Here is a 22,199-nt window from a genome sequence, read left to right on the forward strand (position 1 = left end):
TCCTTCATCCAGCCTCCAGCCTTTCATCCCCCAGTGCTAGGCCAGCCTCCTTATGTGGTGGCCTTAGGGAGTATTCCAAGAGAGGGAGTGGGGATGCTACAAAGTACCTACCTTGAAGTCACATAATATCATTTCTGCCACATTCTACGTTTTTAAACCAAGTCACAAGGGCAGTTTAGATATAAGTGGTGAGGGAAATAGACTCCATGTCATGATGGGAGGAATAGCAAAGTTAATTGCAAAGGAACCTGCATCCTGGGGTAGGAGGAGTTTGTATCCAATTTTTTAATCCACCAAAGAAGTACTTAGCATGCTCTTTTTTTTTGTTTTTTTTTTTTTTTTTTTTTTTTTTTTTTTTTTTTAGACAGGGTCTTACTCTGTCACTCAGGCACAATCATAGCTCACTGGAGCCTCAAACATCAGGGCTCATGTTGTTTTCCTGCCTCAGGGGCTCCTGAGTAGCTGGGACTATAGGCATGTACCACCATGCCCAGCTAATCAGTTAATTTGTCAGTTTTTTGTTTTTTTAAAGAAGGGGTATTTTTATATTGCCTAGGGTGATCTTGAACCCCTGGGCTCAAGGGATCCTCCTGCCTCAGCCTCCCAAAGTGTTGGGATTATACTTTGTAAGCCCAAAGTGTGAGCCATCATGTCCAGCCAAAAAGTATTCAGTATTTTGAGAGTATAAGTTGGATATGTGATGTGAGAGAAAGAGAGGAATCAGGGATGACTTTGAGATTTCTGGCTTAAGCAACTGGCAAGTAGGAGTTTTTAATCAACTGAGGTGGGGAAGACTGTGGGTAGACTAAGTTTTGGGTGAGAAGAGCAGGATTCAGTCAGGGGAACGGAAGGGCAGGCTCTCTGTACCAGCACTCAGTATGCAGTTTCATATCAAGTCAAAGGCTGTCTGAGACCAACACTGGTCTTTGAGAGTGGGAAGTTCAAGCAAGCAGAAGATGACAAGTAGGTGTCGCTGGCTCTAATGGAAGATGGGCAAGAGAAGGCCTCTACATTCTAGAAAGTGAACTTGCTATGTGGTTTGCCTGGCAACGGACAGGGTGAGGTAAATAATGCCACAGAAGTTCCAGGATGAAGGATTACAAGAGGTTTGTAAGAAAACTCCAGGGGTACAGTGGTTCAGAAATGGACATAACAGCCTAGAGGAAGACCTGGGAGAAGCCCTTGAATAACCATTGGTCCATTGTGCATCTAGGGTCCTTAACAAAAAGATAAAAGACAAGTGTATAATATGTTGGAAAAAAAATTTCCCATTCCCACACAGGTAAGTGTCTACAGCAAAGCTATCCCTGGGTCTTGTAAATGTGGAATATGGCCCACAATTTAAAGTCAGCTTCTTTTTTTTTGAGTGAGGAAAAATCTCATAAGGAAATGCCTGATCCTTCTTTAGGCATAAAAAGAGCATGATTCACACCCAAGGAAGAGAATGTTGGGGGGAGTGCACCCACGCTGTGTGAAACTTCATTGTCATGCCTCTGTGTGAGGGTGTGTGGATACAGTGTCTGGGTGTATTTGCACACACATTTATTTCGGCAAATATTGGTAACTGCCTGATTGACCTTTCTTTAGGGCAAGGACTCAGATGGTTAGGAGGGAGAAACAGGTTGCTCCTCAGGCTGGTGCACATTCTTGGCTACATTTTACAAATAAGCTGTAAAAGATGGAATATATTTGCTGGCTGGTTTGACAGTCTACCCAGAGGTAGGAGGATGGACTCTATGACCTTTGAAAGTCAATTTTCATCCCAAGATTTCATGTTCCAATTATGGCTGATAGACTATTTAAATAAATGATGGTTTTTCTATTAGGAAAGAAAATTGACTGGAATTCATTCTATTTGAGCCACAAAAATTTGAAAATAGGTCAACTCTTAATTACCCAGGGTGATATAATAGGGAACATCTTGGATGGATTATCCCAAACCACAGGTAATTAACAAAATGTGCAAATTAGGCACTGATTCATAGCATTCATTAAAATTTACATTTAAACTACTACTTAAGCAGCATAGATTTATAGATGAGCAACTCAACATGGTAAAAATAATTTTAAGATGAATATACGCATTTTAAATAAAATGTAGAGTTGAAGATATTGCCAAAAGACTGGACAATCTGAAATATTTTCATACTCTAAAATTCAGAACATTTACCTAGTGCTGCATAAGACATTTGGCAGATTTAAAAAAATCTCATTTTTATAAAAGGCAAGGGAGAGATCAACAGAGGTTTTTCACCCCCTGGAAACTCCTGTGCCCGCCCAATGCTGGACCCTTCCCTTTGTGCTGGTGTTCAGGCCCACAAAGCCACCTCTTTCTCTCCCCGACACACTTCTGTGAAAAATGTTGACAGAAGAACAAAGACTAGGGTGAGTCAGGAAGTGAGAAAAAGAAACTAGAGACAGGAATAATTATAGCACAATCCTTAACCGATTATGGAAACCAAAATTTTAGTGCCATTTCTATCTTACCCAAGGAAAACAATGAAATGAACTTTACTAAAATTTAATATGGGTTAGCACATAACACATACATTTATATATAAATTTACATACATTGGCTGCGGATATTAAACCCTGGCTCACATAATCTTGGTCTTCCTTTGTACTCTATTGTATGGCATCCAGTCGTGCACAGGTGTGATCTGTCAGCCTCAAGCTTCAGCTCCTCCATATCTCTATCATCTATTATTCTTTCTCTACCTCTGTCCAGCCATGCTCAAGCATGCACAAATATGGAAGTGTGAGAAACTTGACTCAATGGGAGCTGAGAGCCAATGGATAAATACTTAACCTTTCCCATGTCCTGGATGAACAATTCTAAAGTGCATTCTACATGGTTCTTCAGAGGGACCTCATTGGCCCTTATTGGCCCTTAATAGTAACCAGCCCAATTATGTCCCCTTTGAATTGGCCTCTGCCCTTCCCTGTTTTCCCTTTTCCAGCCCCTACTATCCTGTTCTCCTTGGTAGGATTATTCCTGCAAATAAACTCCCTTTATGGAAGCCATTGTCTTAGACTCTTTTTGAGTCTTAGACTCTGTTTTTTTGAGGAAGAAACCAGGCTATGCAAGATTTATACTAAAACATCTTTATGAAAGGGTATAAGACAAATATTTTTGAGACTACTAATCTAAAGCATTGATTGTCAATGTATTTGTAAAAAATAAGCCCACAATATACTAATATTTGTATATGTGGCAAGCTATGTGCCACACATGTGCTGTTTTTATGAGCACATTAGGTATACCTCTACCCCCTTTTCTCCCACCCCATGCAGCATATTGACACAAATCAGAAAGAGTACTTCTATTATGGGGATGTTCTTACATTTACTCAAAGTTATAAATAAAGCTAATCAAGTGTAGGCTGTAGTACTTTATTATTAATACCAAATTTCTTTGAAGGCCTGGTAACTAATTGTGATTCAGAATGTTTTAGGTGGGATGCTTTGGTTGAAATCTCTAAAGCAAACAGATTCAGGTTTAGAAAGTGGAACTCGATGCTAACAACTATTTTTCATACTTAAGCAACTTCTCAAGTTATTTACTTATAAGCTATACATATAACTTTACATCTTTATGTAAGAGATTACATACAACTTTTTGCCATCTTAGTCCTTGCTCAAAAACAGCTCAGAGGTTTCCTTCATATATGCCAAGAAAATTAAAAAATTAAGAGTAAGTTAAGAAAACAGCTCAGGGGTGTTATGAGAAGGGTACTTTACCTCTTTAGCATTTTTCATCAAAATTTGTAACTTCAGTCTAATGAGAAAATATCAGACAATCCAAATTGAGGAGCATTCTACAAAATGTCCAGTACTCTTCAAAAGTGTCAAGATCCCCCAAAACAAGACAAGACTAAACAAGACAAGACTAAAAAACTGTCATAGATCAGAGAAGAATGGAGAGACCTGGTGACTAAATGCTTTGGGCTATCCTGGATTGGATTCTAGAATAGCAAATAAGGTGAGTGGGAAAAGTGGTGAAATACAAATAAAGTCTATAGTTTAGTTCAGCATTGTTTAGTATTGTGCTAATATTAATTTCTTAATTTTCAAAAATGCAGCATGGTTTTATAAGTACTAACATCATGGGAAGCTGGGAGAAGGGTATAGGGAAATACTCTGTACTATCTTTGTAACTTTCCTGGAAATCTAAAATTATTTCAAAGATTAAAATGGAAATATATTTTAAAATAATGTCCAATTTAAAACTAACAAACAAAGCAACTCATGTAGACAACTCTGGTTAATTTGGGCAGACTCTTGCCTGTAAGTCTTAATTAGGAAATACTTAAGGAGACATGGTCTATAAAAGCAGAAGTGTGTGTATGGAGAAGTGATGTCTACTCAGTCAGAAGAAAGTGCTCCCCTGAGATTTACAGAGCCTATTTGTACCATGAAGACCCAAAGTCTACTTTTTTCTCATTTAGGGCATTTTTGGTACAGAATTATCTAATCACTTCAAGATGCCACTTGGCACAGCCAATAAATCCAGCTCTCTTTCTTCAGGGGGTTAAGTGGTAGCTCATAATTTTTTTTGCAATTATTTTTCTATTAGCAACTTTCAGTAAATACTTTTGTAATTGCCCATGAGTTGTCAAGCACTCATGAGATGAAGTTCCAACTCTACAGATGAAAGCCCTGTTTTTGAATCAAGCACTTCATGAGTAAGGATTTCACAAAGCTGCAAAATCTGCTCTTGAGAACCCCTGACAACTAAATATTCCATGGCTTCCACTGATAATCATGCTGTCAGTTAAGTATTTTGCTTTTTTTAAACAGCTGGGTATATTTTTTTCTCTATGAAATTCTGTGAAGAGAGTTTGATGTAGCAAATTTTTTTTTTTAAAAGGCTTGTCATATACCAGGAGGTATCAACAATCACCAAGCTCTCGTGCATTAACTACCTGTTTCACCTCCATTGAGGATATGTCTCAGGTCAATAATTGGATCTATGGTGAGTTATACCAGCTGCATTTTTGGATTCATTTTTATATTTAACCCAAATATATGCTTAAACATTTTTGGTCATTTTTAACAATCATAAAAAGCAACATTCTGAATCATAAAGTTATCTTTAATCAAAAACTAAACTTGGTTCAAATAAAATGTATTTCCATTTTAATCCTTTTCTTAGAAACCTGGCTGTGATAAATACCAAGGAATTCTATGCCAGTTCACAGCAGTAAGAGTGCAGAAGTGCCAGGTTAGTACAACATGATCATTATGTTATATGACTAGATGTGTGTAAACAGATCCATCAAAATCTGTCTGTCCTTTGGTAGGTGACAAAATTAGATCAGGAGACCTGGCATCTATCCCAGATGATTTCCTTTTCTTTCTCTATCATAAACTTGATATTGAAGCTTGAATGGATCTTGATTTTGGACAATTAAAAAATGAAATTGTGGGGAGAAGGAAAATCTTTCAACTTTGAATTCAGACAGATCCAACAGTGAACCAAAAAAACACTTACAATTTTGCCTATTATAACTTGCATTTTTAACATCTAATGGGCACTTAAAATTCATGAATTTAAATTTGTCATTTTGACTAATGGAAGGCCAGAGCAGAACTGCTGTTTTTGAGTACATCACATGAGTGGCAACCTAGATTTGCACAACACAATGCTACTGCCCCAAAGCTCACGTCTCTCACATTTTATCAATGTGTTGAGGGATACCTTGGAGTCATGGGTTTTTAGGATGGTATGCAAGTTGACACCCTTTTGGCTGGTGAATATGCCATGCTTGCCACCCAGCAACTACATCTCAATTGACTTGTTATATATGCAGACAATATATTCGTAGATTATAAAAGTAAATCTACAGAGAAATCTGAATCTGATTATAGTAGTGATGGAAGAGAAGATAAAGTTAATAAGCTGGAGGAAAAAAATGTAAAAATCAATTTTTCAGGTGTGTGAAAATCTCAGTTTTATGCCTGTCAAATGTCAGGAACTTCAGAACATAAAATTGCAGCATGTCATTCCCTTTATTATCTAAGAAGGTAATCAGTCCATTAGTAAACATATCTTCAACAACTATTTTTTGTTTTAGCATGATTCTTGAGGCTTAAGACAAGTGAAAGAATGACCAGAGATGATATCAATCATCAGTTCTTCAAACCTTTTTGAGAAGACAAAAGGAGCCTAGAGGAGACAGGAACAGTAACAGTGTTGTTATAAAAGCCTGTCTAGAAAAAAAAGAGCACTGATTGGGAGTCAGGAGAAGCAAATTTAAGTTCCAGCTCTTACAATAATTTTTCTCCACTACCTTCCAGAAGCTGATGTGCCCAAGAACTGAGCCCAAGTCTTAGCACAAGATCTCCATCCATCAAATAACTGTAATTTATCACCCAGACTGAGACATTTCTGAGAGTGAAAGGGAGCTTCATGAGTAATTATTCCAGAACAACTGGAGTATATTGGGACTGTCTTAGACAAACTAAAAGGCAAAGTCATTCTACTGCCATTCTACTCCCAAACTTCTAGACTCTGGCTGATTCTCTCCACAGACCTCTTCCCGGTGAAAATATCCTCCTCTTTGTAGCATATTTGTACTTCTACTGAATGATAAATGATTATATGCATTCCTTGTTTTTATGTAAGAAAATACAGTTTCCTGATATTGTTTGAGAATTTTAGAAATTATGTCCTCATTTTGGTATTTTAATCCATTAATGGGAAATTTCAGACTGGAAGAAAGAAAACCAGTAACCCTAGGGAGATATTTTTATCTATACCAGTACTTTTGGTCACTTTCAAGTCTCCTGCCTAGGCAGCTGTCTGATCAGCCCATTTAAAACAATCACTGAGATAAGTACTAATAAAATGAATTCAAGAAAATTGCTTTTTAGATGTTAAGTTGATAAGAATATATGCCTATTAATAAGTACCTCTGTGCTTACTCTGCACAGGGTTATGGTATGTACAATTTGTGCACATGGCATATATATGATCAATGAAAACATGAAACTTGTTTTAACAAAATCAGTAACAGGGAGTAACATACGCCAAATGTGTGTTGGAGAAAACAAGAACCACGGGACCCAGAAAAGGAGAGAAATTGAATTTGACATGTACCAGGAAGGTGGATGGAGCTTATACGGGTGGTGTGTATGTAGGGCAGCTGGCGGGTGGCGGGTGGGGGGTAGGTTCGGAGCATGCTGGCGGGAGGACAACCAGATTGTCTTTTAGTCTGCCAATGGTGACATAAAAAAATTCTGCTCTTTAAATTTGGCTGACCAAATTCTATAAGATTTGAATCACATTTTCCCATCAGAAACTAATTCACATCACACCGAACTGTGAAAGTTCAATCTGCAAGACAGATTTGATTTAACAGTCCATGCATTCCACTTGTGTGTGTGTGACGTTATTGAAGTAGGTGTGCTCTAAAGGCATTTTGTAGAAATGCCTTTGTCTAAACGGTGCTTAGGCACAACACGAGTGGCCTTGATGATGTACTTTACGCTAAGGTAAATGTGTAGAGAAGCCTCACGTGTGAATGCGTCGTAGTAAATCCACAGCAGACTGCAGATTTATGGATATCGTTATTCCGTTGTACAGACGGCACCTCCATTGAATTTAATGAGCTGAACTAGGTGAAAAGTTCATTCTAATCTCCTGGTGCCTGGAACTCAAGCACTCCCTGAAATCACAGAACATATGCCTTCTCTTGTTTTAAAAACTGAAGGTGACTTTCTGATAAACAAGTCTCTCTTGAGGGTAATGACATAGGAAGTTATTTTGAAGACGTTTCCTTCAGTGTCTTGACTGAATATTAACCTACAACAGCTACCTGTTGCAAAGCTGAGAGGTGATTTGTCAAATTTAAGATCGATGGCAGATTTGCTTTAATTGATTTTTGTTCCCTAGAGTGAGTTTACTACTTTGAGAATGGCTTAGATTCTCTCACCTATGTTTCCTTTGCTATTCAGAATAAGCATTAGCAAGTGATTTCTCTTCTGCAGTCTTTTACATGGTAATTCTGAACTAATTCTAACATGTTTATCGTAATTAGGTTAAATGTTTATGAAAGACGTCTACAAAACTAACCTGATGTTCCCTCCATATTTAAAAAACACTCAACAATGAATTTAGGTAAAGAAGACTTTTTTGAGACAGTCTCGCTCTGTCACCCAGGCTGGAGTGCAGTGGCGGGATCTCGGCTCACTGCAAGCTCCGCCTCCCGGGTTCACGCCATTCTCCTGCCTCAGCCTCCCAAGTAGCTGGGACTACAGGCGCCCGCCACCACACCCGGCTAATTTTTTTGTATTTTTTGGTAGAGATGGGGTTTCACCGTGTTAGCCAGGATGGTCTCTATCTCCTGACCTCATGATCCGCCCGCCTCGGCCTCCCAAAATGCTGGGATTACAGGCGTGAGTCACCGCACCCGGCCTTTTTTTTGACAGTCTTTCGCTCTGTCACCCAGGCTGGAGTGCATGATCTCGGCTCACTGCAACCTCCGCCTCTTGGGTTCAAGCGATTCTCCTGCCTCAGGCTCCGAAGTAATTGGGATTACAGGCACCAGCCACCATGCCCAGCTAATTTTTGTATTTTTAGTAGAGACAGAGTTTCTCCATGTTGGCCAGGCTGGTCTCGAACTCCTGACCTCGGGTGATCTGCCCACCTTGGCCTCCCAAAGTGCTGGGATTACAGGCGTGAACTACCATGCCTGATCAGAGAATACTTTTGTTGTTGTTATTGTTTGTTCTTGTTTTTTCCACTATCCTCCGCTAGAATAGAACTTTTAAGGTCTCTGATGGAAGCTTTGAATTCTCACAGTGCTGCATTCACACATGGGAAGCACATCAGTGAAGTGAAACAATGGGTATATCTCAATGGGGAGGCTCCTGGCATTTTGTGGGTGTGGGGGACATTTTGTGTGTATGTGCAAGTCTGTCTACCTTATTAAAGGACTTTTACAATCACTGGACCCTACACTGTAAATGCCAGGATCACACTCCAGTTACTGCAACCACCAAAAACATCCCAACACAGCTATCTAGCAACTCTTAAGGTATAACTCATTGCAGATGGTAAAAGGGCAGCTGCTACCTAGATGTAAGTAATTTCTAACTTGAACAGTTTATGTTTTCAAAGATGACTTTGTTAAGTCGAAATGTAGAACACATCACTCTATATGTAACGCAGAATATAAATGGCGACTATGTCTCCAGGCTGGTGACACCTGCCTGGCTTCCATGACCCCTATTCACAATCCCTACTTCAAGTTCTCAGACTAAGACAACTTAATTCCAATCTTTCAATCTCTTTCCCTCTTCCTAAAATAGGCTCTTCTTAAAGTCTCTTTGATCCAGGAGAATTTACGGTGCCATATTTCAGGAGTATATTGATTTCAGATCAGAGTTTTGCTTGATCAGAACTTGTTGTGGCTCTCACCGTATCCCCAGTGAGCTGGTTCTTTTCTTACATCCCAGTTACTGATGTAGTCTCTATCTGGGTCTCATTTGCTTTATGTCCTGCTTTACTTCTCTCTTTGCTGCCACTGCCAGACTCCCTGATGGTTGTTCTTCATGTCCCACGGCGCCACTTGTTTGCCGCTTTTGTGGAGCCTTTTTGTTATCAACACCTAATGGGGCATCTGATTATTCCTTCCTTCCAGGCTGAAGAGGCCATGTCCATCTGCTTATTGCAATTTCTTCCTGAAGATTGTTTTTGGGTGCTTTATCAATTGTCCACATTGTTCTGGGAGGTAGGTCTCTAGCTCCTGACTCTTTCCTAGGAAGGGCTTGCCTGAGCACCAAGCGTTAACAGCTATCTCACTCTACTGCAGACATGACCCAGCCCAAATCAGGAAACTGGATAAAAAACATGGAAACAATGCTGTTGCAGTATGGAAATTAAACGAAACTGGAAACAAATCGAATAAGAGTTTCTAAATCTTTAAATCTGATGCATAAAGTAGTCTTAATTAAAGTAAAAGAGGAGATAAATGAGAATTTACTTTAAAAATCTGAATTTTCTGAGCCTTTAAGGCAAGGTCTTTAGAAACTGGTGGCAATGACTTTTTATTATGGTTAATTTCCCTTCAGAACTTGTGAATTTACTGTTCCTTCATATGGAAATTTTAACACTACTCTTAGGCAGATCAGACATAATTAGGATAATTTTTTGCCACACAAGTGAAATGAAAAGATAGATTTCCCTATCCTTCCTACAAGATAATTGGGTAAAAAATGAAATAGTGAGCTAAATGAAGAAAAGTTTTAAAAATAAATGGGTGTGGGTAAGCAAAATGAACAGCTTGATGGGGAGATGGAAATAGCAGATAAGGCACCTTAATGCACCTTATTATTATTTTGTGGGTAAAATAATTTTGTCTTATTTGTTAAATAAGTCTGTATTTGCGAAATCAAAAGAGACAAAAAGATAACTACTGAAAAAAGTGAATCTTCCTCATACCTCTTTAATCCTGCTGACCCAGTTGCTTTCCCTAGGAGAAGAGTGTACATTGTGGATTTATTATGTATCTTTCCAGAGATACTATTAGTTTGTTTTTATTTCAATAGCTTTTGGGGTACAAGTGTTTTTCAGTTATATGGATGAATTGTACAGTGGTAAAGGCTGATATTTCAGTGTACCAGAGATATTCTATGAATAGGCAAGTGTTTGTATGTATACATGCATTAACACACACATACATATCTAAAAATCTGAATTACTTGGATAGATTTATGTGCAATTGGCACTGAAGTTGTGGAGGACCCGAAGGCTCTTGTCAAGAAGTTCAGTAAGATGGTTATGTCAGGCTTTATTAAAAACCTTTATTATTAGAAACATATTTTCTCTTTTTTTTTTTTGAGATGGAGGTTCACTCTATCGCCCAGGTTCGAGTGTAGTGGCGTAATCTCAGCTCACTGCAACCTCCACCTCCCAGGTTCAAGCAGCTCTCCCGCTTCAACCTCACAAGTAGCTGGGACCACAGGTGCCCACCACCACGCCTGGCTAATTTTTGTATTTTTGGTAGAGAGGGGGTTTCACCATGTTGGCCAGACTGGTCTCAAGGTCCTGACCTCAAGTGATCCACCTGCCTCGGCTTCCCAAAGTGCTGGGATTACAGGTGTGAGCCACTACACCCAGCTGAAACATATTTCTTTATAGTCTCATCTTTCAGTTGCAGCCATATGCCATCTTTAGTGTGGATAACATCAATAAAATGGTGGTTTGGTTGACCTTATCCACGTCTACTTGTTCCCTCTGAATGGATGGATGGCTATGATATGGTGCCTTGTGCTGTCCTTGGGCACAAATTTTCTAATATGTCCTGATCTAAAACAGTTTCCATCTATCTTGGAATGCAGTGGTTAACCTGGATTCTTCCTTCCCCATTACCCTGGACATTCTCTTCACTGTTCTGTTTGGTTGAAGGCATTTTTTCTTACATTTTATATTTTCTTCTTTCTTAGTTTGCTTCCTCATTTTGTTGGAACACATAACTACCAGTTACGTTTTGAGAAAGGGTATGTGACAAATAAATTTGAGATGTTGTACATCAGTAAATATCGTTAGTTTACTTTTCCACCTGATTGATAGTTTGACATGTATAGAATTCTATGTCGGAAGTAATTTCCTTTCAGAATTTTGCAGGTATTTCTTCACAACCCTTCAGCTTCCAGATTGCTGGTAAGTCAGAAGCCATTCTGATGCTGCATTTTGGTTTTGCAGTATATTATCTGTTTTTTGTTTTTTTAATTCCCAGGAGCTTTCAGTATCTTCTCCATGTCCTCAATGTTTTGAAAAGTTCCCACCTATTGTGTTGAGCAGTTGGTGGCTCCTTTCAACCTGGAAAATCAGGTCTATTAGTCCTGGGAAATTTTCTTAAATTATTTTATTTATGATATCCTCCCACCTGTTATTTTGCATTCTGGAACTCTTATTCAAATTAACCTAATATTTGAACATGATACTTTTTGCTTCCTTCTTCAATTTCTTTTTTTTTTTTTCTATTTGTTTATCTTTCTACTTTACTTTCTGGGAGATTTTCTCAAATTTATCTTCTAATCATTCTATTGATTTTAAAAACTTTTCTGTTACCATATTTTTAATTTTCAAGAGCTTTAAAAAAAGGGAGCATCATACTTCATGGAAGTAGCTTCTCTTATTACTCTGAGGGTAAGTATGGATTATTTTAAGTTTTTCTTTTCTAGTGGAATTATCTCTGTTTTCTGTAAATTGTTATTTACAGAATAATAATTTGTTTTTGTCTTTATCTGTCTTATTAACTGATTTCTTCAAATGTTCCTTGACCCTTGGTTGTCTGCTTGGATTAAAAGCGAGAGCCTACAGTGCTCACGGAATGTGGGGCGATTTGAGTTTCACTTAGGATGATTTGGTTTTCTTTCCTTATCTTATTCTCTGAGGTTATTTAGGTAAATTTTTCAGCTCTTTCTAATGGGGTGAAGCCTGGCTCCCAGAGTTGTGGGACGTTAGGGCCAGGTGGCTAAAGGTCTCAGCACTTAGTGTAAAGCAATTAATAAGCATTTGATATCTTAATTTCCCTTTTATGTATGGCACCCAATTCTTCAATTATGACTGAGTTATTCCCTGGTTCAGAAACCCTGTTTTATCCTTCTGAAGGCAAAACTCTCCGTTTCTCCTGGTGTTGGGAAAGACGGTCATCTTTCAGCATGCTGTGGGGAAAAGGATCTAACTGCTACACACACAACTATAATTAAATTTTCCTTATGTTAACCTCTTTGTCTTCATTGCTCACTCCTAGTTCTACAGGTAGCTGGAATTTACAGTGTAAATCATCTAATTTATCAGCTTTCTTAGCCGTTGGCTTTAGACATCTTTGCCTTGGGTTTGTAAGTCAGTTCCCTCTCATGATCTGCTTTCCATCTTCCAAAATTTTGTTGCTGTTTCTCCAGGACTTCCCATCTTTGTGGATTTATTTCTTAAAAAAATTCCTTTATTGTAGTTTAATTGTGTTGGATGAGGAAATAAAATATGCATTTTAATTACTAAATCACCTGAATGTGGGCAGCTCATTAGTGTTATCCTCTGTCAACCAGGCTGGAGGGTAGTGGCACAATCACAGTTCACTGCAGCCTTGACCACCTCAGCTAAAGGGATCTTCCCATCTTAGCCTCTTGAGTAGCTAGGATTACAGGTGTGGGCCACCATGCCTGGCTATTAGTGTTAGTTTGGATGGTGGGTTTAAATATGATTTTTTTTTTTTTTTTTTACATTTTAAAATACTTTTACATTTTTATCTTACTTTTTGTGATTTTAATTTGTGAATTCTATATATTCTGAATTTACTACACTTGTTAATATTTTACTTTGGTAAAAACAAAACAAAACAAAATACAAAATACAAGCTCATAGAATTATTTTGAAAATTCTAAACATTTTCTTGCCCCCAGAGATAGAAGTTACTTGAGGTGAAATAAACAGTTATGTGTAATGAAAGAGTGGAATCACTATTCAGTAGCATCCTTTTATCTGCAGGGCATGTGTTTCAACACGCCCAGTGGATGCCTGGAACTTTGGATAGTACTGGACCCTGCTGCCATAAATTAGAACACATTTCTGTTTATATCTTACCCACAAATTTAATGTGTTTTCTATCTTAACTAAGCACTTATCATTTACTGTGGCTGTAACTTTTGCAGTTTGAGGCAAGACAGCAAAACTAGCACAAATTTCTTTTTTCTTCTTTACAGTTTCATGGATGAAAGATTCATTCTTACTGTAGATCTCAGCAATTTCAGCATAATTTTTTTTTCTTTCTTAAGTAGAACATGTTCCACTTAATGAAAGCACTTGACAGCTTCTCTTTGGCATATCTGAATTGTCATTATCACTACTCCTGTGCTGTGGGGTCATTATTAAGTAAAATAGGGTTTACTTGAGCACAAACACTGTGATATGCAATAGCAGATCTGATAACCAAGACAGCTACTAAGTTATTAAGCGTGGACAGCATGAATACGCTGGGCAAAGGAAAATTCAGATCCCAAACTGGAAGGAGCAGGAAGGAGATTTCATTGCACTACTTAGAATGGCATACAATTTAAAACTTATGAATTGCTTATTTCTGGAATTTTCTATTTGATATTTTTGGACTGTGGTTGGCTGCAGGTAACTGAAACTGCAGAAAGTGAAACCACCAATAGGCTTGGGGACACTACTGTATGCACTTGATCTCCTGAGGAAGAAGGTGGTTTGGGCAGTCTTTTGTGGCAACCACCAGATGATGCCATTGACCAAGGTCAGCTTGGTTGTGGTTTAGCTTTGAGGGAGGGGGGTGGGGTATTGTTTTGAGATTCATAAGGATTGAGGAACATCATCTATCAACTTTCCATGTATGGTGTGTATGTAAGTTTGGCACGCTTTCATTCAGTATATTTGGTCTGTCCATTCTCAGATGTAGAATGAGTTTTGGTGGCAGTTTTTCAGTTGGTGTTTGTTTCAGCTGCTTTGAGATTTTGCCTTGAAGGTCAAGTGATCTAGCTGATTTAAATGATGTATTTTATTCAGTGAGAACCCTATTAAATGTATTAAGAGAGCTCACTTTTGATTAGTCATGGAGATAATGAATGAGGAAGAAAAAGCTGATGTAAATCCACCCACAATCCTAAAGTCTCATTTGTAAAGTCTGGTGTTTTCTTCCTTGATATTTTATGTATTTCTGCTAGGGAAACCAGTTTCTTGAATTGCATAATAATTGAAAAATAAAGAAAGTGAAATCAATAAAAACAATGCTACTAGCTGGTGCTAAATGTGACCTGAAGCTGATATCCTTTAGATAAACACGTCAGGGTTGGGAGCCCAACTCGTAACTATTTTTATAAATACGATTTTTTTAACAAAAAGATTCTTAGAAAAATCTTCTTCTTATTAAAAAAATTACTTTTCAAAAGGCAGCTCTTGATTTTTGTTTTTACCAGTTTTCATCTGGCTAAACACTGATTTAAATAAATGTAACTAATGGTAATTTTACATAAGCCTACAATGGGTCATTGGAAGGATTTAATACCTGCATAAATGAAACCATAACTGGGTCTGAGGGTTTCAGGCTCAATTTTATAGAAGCTGATAGTAATGAGCTTTATGTAGAATAATGAAGTTCTCTGAATTTCAACAATTTTTTCTTTTCCTTTTTCTTTAATTTTTTCCCCTTGTCATACTTTTTATAGGAGAATGAGCTAATTCAGCTAATGAGAAACATATTAGCTAAAAGGACTGGAAAACAGGTTGTGGCCAGGTGTGGTGGCTCATGCCTGTAATCCTAGCACTTTGGGAGGCTGAGGCGGGTGTATCACCTGAGGTCAGGAGTTCAAGACCAGCCTGACCAAATATGGAGAAACCCCGTCTCTACTAAAAATACAAAATTAGCCAGGTGTGGTGGCACACGCCTGTAATTCTAGCTACTTGGGAGGCTGAGGCAGGAGAATCGCTTGAACCTGGGAGGCAGAGGCTGCAGTGAGCAGAGATCGTGCCATTACACTCCAGCCTGGGCAACAAGAGAGAAACTCCGCCTCAAAAACAAAACAAAACAAAAGCAAAAACAACAACAAAAAACGAAAGTAGATTGTAAGAGTTAAAGTGGTTGGGTGTGGTGGCTCACACCTGTAAATTCAGCACTTTGGGAGGCCAAGGCGGAAGATTTCTGGAATCCAGGAGTTTGAGTTCAGCTTGGATAACATAGGGAGACCCCATCTCAACACACACACACACACACACACACACACACTGGGTGTGGTGGTGCATTCCTGTAGTCTCAGCTACTCAAAAGACTGCGGCAGGAGGATCACTTGAGCCCAGGAGGTTGAGGCTGCAGTGAGCTGTGGTTACACACTGCACTCCAACCTGGGTGACAGAGCAATACCCTGTCTCAAAAAAAAAAAAAAAAAGAAAACTTTAGGTAGTACTCAGGAACGGATACGACAAAAGGGGTTTAGGAATATACAGACCATATAACATAAAAATGGATTCATAAACTAAAATAATTTGAACACAACTGTTCTTATGAAGCTTCTTGAAATTATGATTTTAGGAGTTTATCATTTTTCTTGCTTCACCTTCTCTTTCACATTTATAATGGAAATTAAATAGGAATGAAAATCGGTTGGAGGCTAACTGCCCAAATGAATTAGGTTGAAAAGATGAGATAAAGAAATGCTTCCTAAGTATTTCTTCGTAAGGTTTAAAGGAAATGAGAACCAGAGAGAAGATTGGAAACAATATATTTTGCCTCTGGTATTATTATACAGATTATTTACAAACTATGTAGTTGTGGTTCAAAATGCAAAATTTTATCTCTGCAAATACTACTACTTGGTAAATATGCTTTATCTACCAAGACTGGAAAATAGAAATGGAAAAGTGAAAATGTAGGTGCATATGCCAGATATGTACCTGTATAACCTGAGGAAGGAGCAACAGTGGGGCACCCCGATTGATCCTTGAATTTTCTTAACATTTATCTATATATAGTTCATGTCTGTGTCATATTCTACTTTCTGGGAGACTATTTAAACTTTATTTTTCAACAATTCTATGGACATATTCATTACTCATATCATATTTTTAATTTTCAAGAGCCCTTCTTTAATTTATTATAGCATATTCTTCTCACTTCATCTGAAGATATTAAAGGAACTTTTTATTCATAAAATTTTCTTTGGATCCCTACATTATCTCTTTTTCACCTGAAATTTTTTATTTGGGTTTATCTACTCACTGTTATGAATGCCTTTTTTTTTTTTTTTTTTTTTTTTGAGACAGAGTCTCACTGGAGACCCAGGCTGGAGTGCAGTGGTGCGATCTCGGCTCATTGCAACCTCCGCCTTCTGGGTTCAAGCGATTCTCCTGCCTCAGCCTCCTGAGTAGCTGGGACCACAGGCGCGTGCCACCATGCCTGGCTAATTTTTTGTATTTTTAGCAGAGACGGAGTTTCACCGTGTTAGCCAGGATGGTCTCGATCTCCTGACATTTTGATCCGCCTGCCTCGGCCTCCCAAAGTGCTGGGATTACAGGCATGAACCATTGCACGTGAGCCACTGCGCCTGGCCTTATGAATGCTTTTTATCTAAAATCTCATTTAATCTTTACAACAACCTTATGAAGTAAAAATCTTATTCTATTTTACAGATATGAACATTGAGGTAAAGAAAGATTAATTAGATTGACAATGGTCACACACTTAGTAAGTGTTGGAGTCAGGATATGAACCTAGGCTGTCTATCTCAAACATCTTGTGTCTTGTCTACCCATCCATATTTTAGAGTGGAGCTCTAAACTACTGTGAGGAAATTCTATGCACATAGCTGGGGCCTCTCAGCTGCCAGACTTCTCTGTAGGGAACAAAGCAAGAACCAGATGATTGCTGATGGACCCTGACATGCTGCATCTGGAGATGTTTCCTCAGAGAGAAACCCTCTGTTCCCCTGTGCTGAGAGACTGTGAGTCCAGGGAAGGGGTTGGCATCTTCATCATTCAGTAAGCAGATGGTTTTCAGCCTGGTGCCTCAGCCCTTCCCTCCACTGTCCCAGATTTTATCAAATTTGGAGCTTCCCTGATTCCATTTTTCTAGAACATAAAATACTCTGCTCCTGTGATGATGGGAGAGGAGATGTCACCTGGCTACATAAAGTAAGAGAGGAGAACTGGCGGTCAAAGTCCTCCTTATCTAGACTTCCTATAGTCCTGTTTTTCTGCCTTTTTCTGACACCACCTTCAGAAGTGTCTGTGGCTTCCAATTCCTGAGACTACCCAAGTTCTGTGGTGTGAATTGATGTGTAGTTTCCTGTTGCTACTGTAACAAATTACTATAAATTTAGTGCCTTAAAACAAGACAAATTTATTATCTCAGAGTTTTCAAGTCCAAAATGAGTGTTAATGGAGCTAAAATCAAGGTGTTGGCAGGGTTGTGTTCCTTCTGGTGGCTTCTGGATGGAATGTTTTCTTTTTTTTTTTTTTAATTAAAAAAATTTCACTAGTTTGTGGAGGAACAGGTGGTTTTCGGTTACATGGATAAGTTCTTTAGTGATAATTTCTGAGATTGTGGTGCACCCATCACCTGAGCAGTGTACATTGTACCCAATGTGTAGTCTTTTATTTCTTCCCCCGGGCCCTCTTCTACCCAGGTCCCCAAAGTCCATTGTATCATCGTTATGCCTTCGTGTCCTCATAGCTTAGCTCCCACTTACAGGTGAGAACATACAATATTTGTTTTTCCATTCTGGAGTTACTTTACATAGAATAATGGTCTCCAACTCCATCCAACTTGCTGCAAAAGACATTCTTTTATTCCTTTTTATGGCTGAGTAATATTTGTGTATATTTACCACATTTTCTTTATCTGCTCTTTTTTTGTTTGTTTGTTTGTTTATTAAGATGGAGTTTCACTCTTATTGACCAGGCTGGAGTGCAATGGCGTGGTCTTGGCTCACTGCAACCTCAATCTCCGCCTCCCGGGTTCAAGGGATTCTCCTGCTTCAGCCTCCCCAGTAGTTGAAATTATGGGAGCCTGCCACCATGCCTGGCTAATTTTTGTATTTTTAGTAGAGATGGGGTTTTACCATGTTGGCCAGGCTTGTCCTGAACTCCTGACCTCAGGTGGTCTACACGCCTCAGTCTCCCAAAGTGCTGGGATTACAGGCATGAGCTACTATGCCCAGCTATCCACTCCTTGATTGATGGACATTTAGGATGGTTCCACATTTTTGCCATTGTGAATTGTGCTGCTATAAACATGTGTGTTCAAGTGTCTTTTTCTTATAATGACTTTTTTCCCTCTGTGTAGATGTCCAGTAGTGGGATTGCTGGATCAAATAGTAGTCCTACTTTTAACTTTTTAAGGAGTCTCCACACTGTATTCCATAGTGGTTGTACTAGTTTACATTCCCACCAGCAGTGTAAAAGTGTTCCATTTTCACCACATCCATGCCAACATCTATTATTTTTTGATTTTTAAATCATGGCCATTCTCGCAGAAGTAAGGTGGCATCTCATCGTGTTTTTTAATTTGCATTTCCCCTAATAATTAGTGATGTTAAGCATTTTTCATAGTTTTTTGGCCATTTGTATATCTTCTTTTGAGAATTGTCTATTCATGTTCTTAGACCACTTTTTGTATTTCTGTGGTCTCAGTTGTAATATCTCCTTTTTCGTTTCTAATTGAGTTTATTTGGGTCTTTTCTTTTCTTGGTTAATCTTGCTAACGGTCTGTTGATTTTGTTTATATTTTAAAAGAACTAGTTTTTGGCTGGGCATGGTGGCTCATGCCTATAATCCCAGCCCTTTGGGAGGCTGATGAGGGCGGATCATGAGGTCAGGAGTTTGAGACCAGCCTGACCAACATGGTGAAACCCCATCTCTATTAAAAATACAAAAATTAGCCAGACATGGTAGTAATTTTTGTATTTTGTGCCTGTAATCCCAGCTACTCAGGAGGCTGAGGAAGGAGAATCGCTTGAACCCAGGAGGCGAAGTTTGCAGTGAGCTGAGATCGCGCCACTGCACTCCAGCCTGGGAGACAGAGCAAGACTTAATCTCCTAAAAACAAACAAACAAACAAACAAACAAAAAGCTAGTTTTTTGTTCCATTTATCTTTTGTATTTCTTATTTAATTTTGTTCTGATCTTTGTTATGTCTTTCTTCTGCTGGGTTTGGGTTTGGTTTTGGTTTGTTCTTATTTCTCTAGATTCTCAAGGTGTGAGCTTAGATTGTCTATTTGTGCTCTTTCAGAGTTTTGATGTAGGTATTTAATGCTGTAAACTTTTCCTTTAGCACTGTTTTTGCTGTATCCCAGAGGTTTTGATAAGTTGTGTCACTATTATTGTTCAGCTCATATAATTTTTTAAATTTCCATTTGATTTCATTATTGGCCCAAAGATCATTCAAGAGCAGATTATATAATTTCCTTGTATTTGTATAGGGTATAGAATAAACCCTAAATTTATAAATATATATATATATTTATATATTAAACTATACTATTTTATATATATAAATTATACTATTTATATATTAAACTAAACTAATAAACTATACTATTTGTATAGTTTAGGGTATAGTTTAATGTATAGAATAAACCCCTTTGGAGTTAATTTCCAGTTTTATTCTACTGTGGTCTGAGAGGATATTTGATGTAATTTCTATTTTCTTAAATTTATTAAGACTTATTTTGTGATCTATCATATGATCCATCTTGGAGAATGGATCCATCTCGGAGAATCCATGCTGAAAAAAGAATGTATATCCTGCAGCTATTGGGTAGAATGTTCTGTAAATATCTGTTAAGTCCATTTGTTCTAGGTTATAGTTTAAGTCCATAGTTTATTTGTTGACTTTCTGTCTTGGTGACCTGTTTAGTGCTGTCAGTGGAGTATTGAAGTCCCCCACTATTATTGCATTGCCATCCATCTCATTTCTTTGGTCTAGTAGTAATTGTTTTATAAATTTGCGATTGTCAGTGTTAGCTGCATATATATTCAGGATTATGATATTTTCCTGTTGGACTAGTCCTTTTATCATTATATAATATCCATCTTTGTCTTTTTAACTGTTGTTGCTTTACAGTTTGTTTTGTCTGATATAAGAACAGCTACTCCTTCTCACTTTTGGCTTCCATTTGTGTGGACTACCTTTTTCCACCCCTTTACCTTAAGTTTATGTGAATCTTTTATGTGTTAGGTAAATCTCTTGAAGACAGCAGAAACTTGGTTGGTGAATTCTTATGCATTCTGCCATTCTGTGTCTTCTTTTTTTTTTTTCAAACCATATCCAGCTTTATTAAAGATACTTTCCATAAATAATCATGGTATTTCAGGCAGGACATGGGCAGACAATTGTTAACAGTATACAACAACTTTCAAACTCCCTTCTTCAATGGACTACCAAAAATCAGAAAGCCACTATAAAACCCAATGAAGTCTTCATCTGATGCTCTGAACAGGGAAAGTTTAGAGTGAGGGTTGACATTTCACATTTAGCATGTTGTTTAACAACTTTTCACAAGCCGACCCTGACTTTCAGGAAGTGAAATGAAAATGGCAGAATTTATCTGAAGATCCACAATCTAGAAATGGAACCACTGCTCTTTTGACAGGTGCCATCTCAGTGGCATCACTGGAAAGTCCAGATTGCCTGACACACTGGTAATCAATGACTGGGGGTCAGGTCCCAACAGATGTCTCGGCTCAAGGGAGTTAAGTCTATGCTGAAAGATGGAAAAGGAGAAGAGGACATAAAAACGAATTTGTTTTTCTATACCACAAGGCTTTTGTGCCAAGGTGGCCATGTGTGTCAGAGTCAGGGAATCCCTCCTCCTGGGAGCCAAGAGGAAGTCTCTCAAAACTAGAAGGGAAAGGTGTTTTCCTCACATAAATCCAGCTTTGGAGACTTTCTGTTAGTGACATGTGCCCCTTCCCCCAAAAACAACAATGAAGTGTTCTGTGTGCTAACAACATAGCTTAAAAAAAAAAAAAGTAAAACAAAATTCTGCATTTTTATAAAACTTGATAAAAATAGTATTTCAAACTGTACAGTCACCAGAAGTACACAGTTATCAAAAATGTACACACTTCACTTGGCATCTCCAGCACCTTCAGCTTTCTGTGCCTGGTCTGTTTTGGCATCTCCATTTTCTGCAGGGTTATTCCCCTCCTTGCCAGCATCAGCTTTTCCCTTTTTCCCTTTGGGTACCTTCTCTCCCTTCTTTACAGGGGACTTTCTAGGCTTGGGCTCTGGCTTTGGAGGAGCAGGTTTGGCAGACAACCTCGCGGATCTTCTCTGCGGTTCGTCCTTCACCTTGGCTTTATCTCCCTTAGCATCCCCTTCAGCCTTTCTCTTGGGCATGGTGACGGCCACGACGGTGGCGGGATGTAGGTGCTGGATGCGGGATGCAGCTGCGCGCGGGCTTTGGTCAGTCCGGGGGTCGTTCTCGCCTCTTCTTCGTCACACTGCTCCTGTATCTTCTAAGTGGAGCATTTAGGCTATTTACATTCAATGTTAGTATTGAGATGTGAGGTATTGTTCCATTCATCATGTTAATTGTTGCCTTAATACTTTTTTTTTCTCTGTTGTGTTTAGGCCCTGTGAGATTTATGCTTTAAGGAGGTTCTATTTTTGTGTATTTTGAGGTTTTGTTTCAAGATTTAGAATTCCTTTTAGCATTTCTTGTAGTTCTGACTTAGTAGT

At 38.4% G+C, this 22,199-nt stretch overlaps 1 long non-coding RNA gene and 1 pseudogene across 6 annotated transcripts; one reads left to right on the forward strand and one right to left on the reverse strand.

The window, feature by feature from the left end:
- The first annotated feature begins 1,078 nt into the window (after positions 1–1,078).
- LOC105370415 (uncharacterized) lies at positions 1,079–17,452 on the forward strand. Of its 6 annotated transcripts, XR_007064372.1 has the most exons (7): positions 1,079–1,282; positions 3,778–3,982; positions 4,577–4,773; positions 4,871–4,975; positions 5,156–5,224; positions 9,648–9,737; positions 17,281–17,452. It is a non-coding gene; the product is annotated as an uncharacterized LOC105370415 (long non-coding RNA). The 6 variants fall into 6 exon arrangements; XR_007064373.1 differs by lacking the exon at positions 9,648–9,737; XR_943636.2 differs by lacking the exons at positions 9,648–9,737; positions 17,281–17,452 and adding an exon at positions 6,301–6,574.
- On the reverse strand, positions 20,774–21,967 carry HMGN2P6 (high mobility group nucleosomal binding domain 2 pseudogene 6; annotated as a pseudogene).

The sequence above is a fragment of the Homo sapiens genome, chromosome 14 (assembly GCF_000001405.40).
Source record: "Homo sapiens chromosome 14, GRCh38.p14 Primary Assembly".
In the NCBI taxonomy this organism is placed as follows: Eukaryota; Metazoa; Chordata; class Mammalia; order Primates; family Hominidae; genus Homo; species Homo sapiens.